At 40.8% G+C, this 8,872-nt stretch overlaps 2 annotated features.

Annotated features, from left to right (window-relative positions):
- Positions 7,421-7,690: an enhancer, noted in NCBI's record as "active region_16827". NCBI's record gives its function as "activates an Ori minimal core promoter by ATAC-STARR-seq in GM12878 lymphoblastoid cells {active_cell/tissue: GM12878}" and the evidence as "EXISTENCE:reporter gene assay evidence [ECO:0000049][PMID:35858748]".
- Positions 7,701-7,850: an enhancer, noted in NCBI's record as "active region_16826". NCBI's record gives its function as "activates an Ori minimal core promoter by ATAC-STARR-seq in GM12878 lymphoblastoid cells {active_cell/tissue: GM12878}" and the evidence as "EXISTENCE:reporter gene assay evidence [ECO:0000049][PMID:35858748]".

The following is an 8,872-nucleotide window of genomic DNA, read 5'->3' as shown; positions in this document are numbered from 1 at the left end:
CTCTGAACCTCACCCATTATATACTTTAATCTTACTCCTGTAAAATGCCTTTATAGTTTCAAAGGTAATTTCATTAATTCGTTAAAAAATGCTTGCAGGCTAGGCGTGGTGGCTCGCACCTGTAATCCCAGCACTTTGGGAGACTGAGGCGGGCGGATCACGAGGTCAGGAGATCGAGACCATCCTGGTGAACACGGTGAAACCCTGTCTCTACTAAAAATAAAAAAAATTACCCAGGTGTGGTGGCAGGTACCTGTAGTCCTAGCTGCTTGGGAGGCTGAGGCAGGAGAATGGCGTGAATCTGGGAGGCGGAGCTTGCAGTGAGCCAAGATCGTGCCACTGCACTCCAGCTTGGGCAAAAGAGCGAGACTCCGTCTCAAAAAAAAAAAAAAAAAAAAAAAAAAGGAAAGCTTGCAACTCTGCTAGATGTGGGGATACAGCAGTGAAAATCAAAGACACAGTCCTTGAGCACACATCATCTGGAGTCCAGAGGGACACAGACAAGTCAAACAAGTTTTATGTTGTGAAGTACCAAATGCAATAGGATAGGAGAGGCATAAAATACCCTTGGGTCATCAGAGAAGGGTTCTCAAAGGTAGTGATACTCACAATGAGGTCTGAATGCAAAGCAGGAATTTTCTGGTGAAGTGCAGTCAAGCAGTCTACCAAGTAGAAGGAAAATAATGTATGAAGGTCTAGAGGTGAGACTGAGCATGGCTAGTTCATGTAATTGAAAGCAATTTTGCTTTGTTAAAATGTAGTATATTGATACCTAAGAAAGGAGAGGGTAAATCTTGCAAGTTAGGATAAAAAACTTTGACTTTATCTTAGAAAAATGTGAAGCTATTGGGCCTTTTAAAGAAAGAAAAGAAGATGAGCAGATTTGTCAGAGAAAGTATACTCTGGCTGGTGGTTGTAGCATGGGCCCGGAAAAGAAGCAAAGGACCAGGTAGGAGACTGCTTCTGGAACCCAGATGTGAGTTTATAGTGGACTAGACTTGTGTAGAGGCAGTGAAGATGAAGGGAAAACAGTGCTGTCATTTACCAGAATAAGGGATTTGGAAAGGGGAATGTATCTGAAAGAAAAATTATAAAGAGAATTAGAGGTTGCAATGAGGTTATAACTTCGAAGTAGTAGTGCAGTATCCCAGTGCTAATAACTGCAGGAAGCTATTTTAAACTTTAGCCCAAAAGGGGTAAGCAGGCAGAAATTCTGACCTTAAGTCCAGTAACACATAGCCTGAGGCATATCCAGAGTGGGGAAAATACATATTCCCACTCACCGTTCTCCCTCATTCCCTCCCTGTCACCTTATGCTAATGCTCACTGTTGTTCTAACTCCAATAGAAGACAGAATGCAGTAGAGTCGTCGACGCCATCCATGTTAGTCAAACCCCTGGGTCATGGAGCCAGATGAAGAAGGAGGGCAAACAGAAGGTAACCTGCACAAACTTATCGTTAGCACTATTATGCACCTCTGGGTCTTTATCTTCCTTAAGCTCATAGTAGTGTTTAACAATTTTGGCCACTTCTTGAAACTTTCCTTTTGTGGCCTATGACCCTGCAATCTACCTGTCTTTTACCTCAGCCTGCTTTGCCGTATCTATCCCTTTATTTAAATGCTGATGCCCTCAGAGCTATGGCTCTTCAAAAGCTGTTTTCCTCTCATTGACCCTCAGTGGGTCTCATCTATTCCTATTGTTTCAGTCATCAGCAACAGCTTCATGATTCCCAAGACTATTTTGAACCCAGATATTTTTCCTGAGCTTCAGGCCCACTTCCTTGTCTGTCTATGTGTATGTTTACTATGAAGTCTCATAGACACCTCAAGATCAACATGTCAAAATTAAACTATCGTATCTAACCTCAAATCCTTTCCACTCGTATTTCCTACTTTAGCAAATGAAACAATCATTCTTACAATTGCCCGAAATAGAAATTTTGGATTCATCCTTGACCTAACACATTTACTTGTAATTAGAATTTCTTTTTTTTTTTTTGCTTTTCTTCTTAAAAAAAAAAATACAAGCTACACGTGCAGAATGTACAGGTTTGTTACATAGGCCTACATGTGCCATGGTGGTTTGCTGCACCTATTGACCCATTCTCTAAGTTCCCTCCCCTCACCACCACCCCCCAACAGGCCCCAGTGTGTGATGTTCCCCTCTCTGTGTCTATGTGTTCTCAATGTTCAACTCCCACTTATGAGTGAGAACATGTGGTGTTTGGTTTTCTGTTCCTGTGTTAGTTTGCTGAGGATGATGGCATCCAGCTTCATCCATGTCCCTGCAAAGGACATGATCTCTGTCCTTTTAATGGCTGCATAGTATTCCATGGTGTATATGTGCCCCATTTTCTTTATCAAGTTTACCATTGATGGGCATTTGGGTTTGTTCTATGTCTTTGCTATTGTAAATAGTGCCTCAATAATAACACATACATGTGCATGTGTCTTTATAGTAAAATAATTTATACTCCTTTGGGTATATACCCAGTAATGGGGATTGCTGGGTCAAATGGTATTTCTGGTTCTAGATCCATGAGGAATTGCCACACTGTCTTCCACAATGGCTGAACTAATTTACTTTCCCACCAACAGTGTAAAAGCATTCCTATTTCTCCACAGCCTTGCCAACATCTATTGTTCCCTGACTTTATAATAATTGCCATTCTGACTGCTGTGAGATTGTATCTCATTGTGGTTTTGATTTGCATTTCTCTGATGATCAGTGATGTTGAGCTTTTTTTCATATGTTTCTTGGCCATGTCAGTGTCTTTTTTTGAGAAGTGTTTGTTCATATCCTTTGCCCACTTTTTGATGCGGTTGTCTTTTTCTTGTAAATATGTTTAAATTCCTCATAAATTCTGGATATTAGCCCTTTGTCAGAAGGGTAGATTGCAAAAATTTTCTCCCGTTCTGTAGGTTGCCTGTTCACTCTGATGCTAGTTTCTTTTGCTGTGAAGAAGCTCTTTAATTTAATTAGATCCCGTTTGCCAATTTTGGCTTTTGTTACAATTGCTTTTGGCATTTCTGTCATGAAGTCTTTGCCCATGCCTATGTCCTGAATAGCATTGCCTAGGTTTTCTTCTAAGGTTTTTATGGTTTTGGGTTTTATATTTAAGTCTTTAATCCATCTTGAGTTAATTTTTGTATAAGGTTTAAGGAAGGGGTCCAGTTTCAATTTTCAGCATATGGCTAGCCAGTTTTCCCAACACCATTTACTGAATACGAGATCCCTTCCCCATTGTTTATTTTTGTCAGGTTTGCCAAAGATCAGATGGTTACAGATATGTGGTGTTATTTCTGGGGTCTCTGTTCTTCTCCATTGGTTTATATGTCTGTTTTGAAACCAGTACCATGCTGTTTTGGTTACTATAGCCTTGTAGTATAGTTTGAAGTCAGGTAGCATGATGCCTCCAGCTTTGTTCATTTTGCTTAGGATTATCTTGGCTATACAGGGTCTTCTTGATTCCGTATGAAATTTAAAATAGTTTTTTCTAATTCTGTGAAGAGTGTCAATGGTAATTTGATGGGAATAGCATTGAATCTGTAAATTACTTTGGGCGGTATGGCCATTTTTATGATATTGAGTCTTCCTATCCATGAGAATGGAATGTTTTTCCATTTGTTTGTGTCCTCTCTTATTTCTTTGAGCAGTGGTTTAGTTCTCCTTGAAGAAGTCCTTCACATCTTTTGTTAGCTTATTCCTAGGTATTTTATTCTCTCTGTAGCGATTATGAAGGGGAGATCATTCATGATTTGGCTCTCTGCTTGCCTATTGTTGGTGTAAAGGAATGCTTGTGATTTTTGTACATTGAGACTTTACTGAAGTTGCTTATTAGGTCAAGAGGTTTTTGAGTTGAGATGATGGGGTTTTCTAAATATAAAATCATGTCATCTGCAAACAGAGACAACTTGACTTCCTCTCTTCCGATTCGAATACGCTTTATTTCTTTCTCTTGCCTGATTGCCCTGGCCAGAACTTCCAACACTATGTTGAATAGGAGTGGTGAGAGAGGGCATCCTTGTCTTGTACTGGTTTTCAAAGGGAATGCTTCCAGCTTTTGCCCATTCAATATGATATTGGCTGCGGGTTTGTCATAAATACCAATTATTATTTTGAGATATGTTCCAACAGTACCTAGTGTATTGAGGGTTTTTAACATGAAGGGATGTTGAATTTTATCAAAGGCCTTTTCTGCATCTATGAAGATAATAATGTGTTTTTTAGTCATTGGTTCTGTTTATGTGATGGATTACGTTTACTGATTTGCGTATGTTGAACCAGACTTGCATCCGAGGGGTGAAGTTGACTTGGCTGTGGCGGAGAAGCTTTTTGATGTGTTGCTGGATTCGGTTTGCCAGTATTTTATTGAAAATTTTCACATTGATGTTCATCAGGGATATTGGCCTGAGGTTTTCTTTTTTTGTTGTGTCTCTTCCCAGTTTTGGTATCAGGATGATGCTGGCTTCATAAAATGAGTTAGGGGAGGAGTCCCTCCTTTTTCATTGCTTGGAATAGTTTCAGAAGGAATGGTACCAGCTCCTCTTTGTACTTCCAGTAGAATTCAGCTATGCATCTGTCTGGTCCTGGGCTTTTTTTGGTTGGTAGGCTATTAATTACTGCCTCAATTTCAGAGCTTGTTATTGCTCTATTCAGAGATTCAACTTCTTCCTGGTTTAGTCTTGGGAGGGTGTATGTGTCCAGGAATTTATCCATGTCTTCTAGATTTTCTAGTTTATTTGCATAGGGGTGTTTATATTATTCTCTGATGGTAGTTTGTATTTCTGTGGTGGTGATATCTCCTTTATCATTTTTTTATTGTGCCTATTTGATTCTTCTCTCTCTTATTCATTAGCATCTATCTAGTGATCTATCTATTTTGTTAATTTTTTCAAAAAAAAAAAACAGCTCCTGGATTTATTGACTTTTTGAAGGGTTTTTTGTGTCTCTATCTCCTTCAATTCTTCTCTGATCTTAGTTATTTCTTGTCTTCTGCTAGCTTTTGGATTACTTTACTCTTGCATCTCTAGCTCTTTTAATTGTGATGATAGGGTGTCAATTTGAAATCTTTCTAGCTTTCTGATGTAGACATTTAGTGCTATAAATTTCCCTCTTAACACTGCTTTAGCTGTGTCTCAGAGATTTTATCTGGTATATTTATCTCTGGTATATTTTATCTTTTTTTCTCATTAGTTTCAAAGAACTTACTGATTTCTGCCTTAATTTCATTATTTACCCAGGAGTCATTCAGGAGCAGGTTGTTCAATTTCCATGAAATTTTGTGAGTTCGAGTGAGTTTCTTAATCCTGAGTTCTAATTTGATTGCACTGTGGTCTGAGAGATTGTTTGTTATGATTTCAGTTCTTTTGCATTTCCTGAGGAGTGTTTTACTTCCAATTATGCAGTCGATTTTAGAATAAGTGCCATGTGGCACTGAGAAGAATGTATTTTCTGTTGATATGGTTTAGAGAGTTCTGTAGATATCTACCAGGTCCACTTGATCTAGAGCTGAGTTCAAGTCCTGAATATCTTTGTTAATTTTCTCTCTCGTTTATCTAATACTGACAGTGGGGTGTTAAAGTCTTCCACTATTATTGTGTGGGAGTCTAAGTCTCTTTGTAGGTCACTAAGAACTTATTTTATGAATCTGGGTGCTCCTTTATTGGGTGCATATATATTTAGAATAGTTAGCTCTTCTTGTTGAATAATTCCCTTTACCATTATGTAATGCCCTTCTTTGTCTTTTTTTATTTTTGTTTGTTTAAAGTCTGTTTTCTTAGAGATTAGGATTACCACCTTTGCTTTCTTTTTTTTTTTTCTTTCCATTTGCTTGGTAAATTTTCCTCCATCCTTTTATTTTAAGCCTTTGTGTGTCTTTGGATGTAAGATGGGTCTCCTGAATACAGCACACTGAAGGGGTCTTGACTCCTTATCCAATTTGTCAGTCTGTGTCATTTAATTGGGGCATTTAGCCCATTTGCATTTAAGGTTAGTATTGTTATGTGTGAATTTCATCCTCTCATCATGATGCTATTTGGTTATTTTGCACACTAGTTGATGCAGTTTCTTCATAGTGTCATTGTTCTTTATATTTTGGTGTGTTTTGCAGTGGCTGGTACCGGTTTTTCCTTTCCATATTTAGTGTTTCTTTTAGGAGCTCTTGCAGAAGGGGCCTTGTGCTAACTAAATCCCTCAGCATTTGCTTGTCTGGAAATGATTTTATTTCTCCTTCACTTATGAAGCTTAGTTTGACTGGATATGAAATTCTGGGTTGAAAATTCTTTTCTTAAAGAATATTGAATATTTGCCCCCAGTCTCTTCTGGTCTGTAGAGTTCCTGCTGAGAGGTCCACTGTTAGTCTGATGGGCTTCCTTTTGTAGGTAACCTGGCCTTTCTTTCTAGCTGCCCTTAACAGTTTTTTCTTCATTTTGACCTTTCTTCATTTTGACACATAATCTGATGATTATGTGTCTTGGGGTTGATCTTCTTGTGGAGTATCTTAATGGTGTTCTCTGTATTTCCTGAATTTGCATGTTGGCCTGCCTTGCTAGGTTGGGGAAGTTCTCCTGGATAATATCCTGAAGTGTGTTTTCCAGTTTATTTCCATTCTCCCTGTCTCCTTCTGGTATTCCAATCAATCATAGGTTCAGTCTTTTTATGAAGTCCCATATTTCTTGGAGGCTTTGTTCATTCCTTTTCATTCTTTTTTCTCTATTCTTGTCTGCCTGTCTTATTTCAGTAAGGTGGCCTTCAAACTTTGATATCTTTCATTCCACTTGTTTGATTTGGCTGCTGATACTTTTGTATGCTTCACAAAGTTCTCGTGCTGTGTTTTTCAGGCTCCATCATGCCATTTATATACCTCTCTAAACTGGATATTCTAGTTAGCATTTCCTCTAATATTTTGTCAAGGTTTTTAGCTTCTTGCATTGGGTTAGAATGTGTTCCTTTAGCTCATCGTAGTTTTTTATTACCCATCTGAAACCTACTTCTGTCTATTCATCAATCTGATCCTCTGTCCAGTTCTTCACCCTTGATGGAGAGACACTGCAATCATTTGGAGAAGACACACTCTGGCCTTTTGGGTTTTCAGCATTTTTTGTTGTTGTTGTTGTTGATTCTTTCTCATCTTCGTGAGTTTGTCTAGTTTTGGTCTTTGAGGCTGCCGACCTTTGGATAGGGTTTTATGGGGGCCTCTTTGTTGTCGTTGTTGCTGATGATGATGCTGTTGGTGTCACTTTCTGCTTGTTTGTTTTTCTGTCAATAGTTAGGTCTCTCTTCTGTAGGGCTGCTGCCATTTGCTGGAAGTTCATTTCAGGCCTTATTCATCTGATTTGCTCCCAAGCCTGCAGATGTCACTCAAGGAGGCTGGAGAGCAGCAAAGATGGGTGCCTGCTCTTTCTTCTGGGACCTCTGACCTCAAGGGGCACCAACCTGATGCCAGTAGGATTGCTCCTATATAGGATGTCTGACAACCCCCATTGGAGGGCCTCACCCAGTTGGGTGACATTGGGAGCAGGACCCATTTAACCAAGCACTTTGTCCCTTGGTGGAGAGGGTGTGTTTCACTGGGGGAAACCCCACTGGTCTGCCTGGATTTCCCAGAACTACCAGGAGGGGAGGCTAAGTCTGCTGGTCCACAGAGACTGTGACCACCCATCCCCCTGGGGGCTCAGGCCCAGGGAGACCTGAATTCTGTCCCTGAGACTCTGGCTGAAGTTATTGGAGATCCTGCAGGGAATCCTCCCCCAGCTGAAGAAGGATGGGTCAGGGTTAGACCTGAAGAGGCACTCTGGTTGCAGACTGCCACAGCCGGTGTGTTGGGCTGTGGGGAAAAGTCTTGGGACCCCATCCAGCCTCCGTGGCTCCAGCAGAGGAAAAGCATAGCCTGGAGCTATAGAAATGGGTGCCACCCTTCCCCCACCCAGGGAGCTTAGTGTGTTAGGCAGTTGCAAGTCCCAATGCTGGTTGCTGCCCCTCCCCCAAGGAGCTCAATGAGCTTAGACAGAAGGCAGCTGCAGCTGGTGCTGGTCGCCACTCCCCCTGGGGAGTTCAGTAGGCTTAAGCAGTTTCCAGCTGAGAGGCTGTAAGAATCTGTGCTGTTCCGGGTTTGGGATGCTAGGCCCTGGTAGCGTTGGTTTGCAAGTGGGATCTTCTGATCTGTGGGCTGCACAGTTCTGTGGAAAAGGCAGTTTCCCCAGCTGTGTAGCAGGCTCACTCACCACCTCCCTTGGCTGGGGGGAGGGGGTTACACTTCCCTGTGTGGCTCTCAGGTGGGCTGCCACACCACACTGCTCTTCCTTCTCTCCGTGGGTCATGCCAGTCTTCTACTCAATTTTGATGAGGGAACCTGGATACCTTTGTTGCCGGTGAAGGATTCACACGCTTATTATGGTTTTTTCCTATGAGAGCCTCCCAATGGCGCTGCTTCTAGTCGGCTATCTTGGTCCTGCCCCCTGTAATTAGAATTTCTATCAATTTTATCTAAAGTATTTCTCAGTCTCATCCCATTTCTTTCCTGCTAGAATCGTGACAGGCACAAGGGTAATCTATGACTTGGTGAAAGTCTTTTCACAGGTGTGATGGAGGTAGAAGCTACATTATAGACAAACCAAGGCATAAATGGGAGACAAGGAAAAGAAAATAGCAAGTAGACTATTCTTTCAAAAAAGTTAGCTAGTAAAGGTTGAAGAGAGAAGGGGTAGCATCCACAAAGAAACACCCAGAGATGAAGATTTGATCATTTCATTTGACGATTTCATTATTTGTGCATATAACTCAGTAGAGAAAGACAGATTGAGGATGGTAGGAAAGGAGGCTAGCAATGGATGCATGGTCCCCTAGGAAGGTGAAAGAAAATAGTTTCC

The sequence above is a fragment of the Homo sapiens genome, chromosome 2, assembly GCF_000001405.40.
Source record: "Homo sapiens chromosome 2, GRCh38.p14 Primary Assembly".
In the NCBI taxonomy this organism is placed as follows: domain Eukaryota; kingdom Metazoa; phylum Chordata; class Mammalia; order Primates; family Hominidae; genus Homo; species Homo sapiens.
Note: the sequence above shows the minus strand (reverse complement) of the source record. Positions and strands in the feature narration are given on the sequence as shown.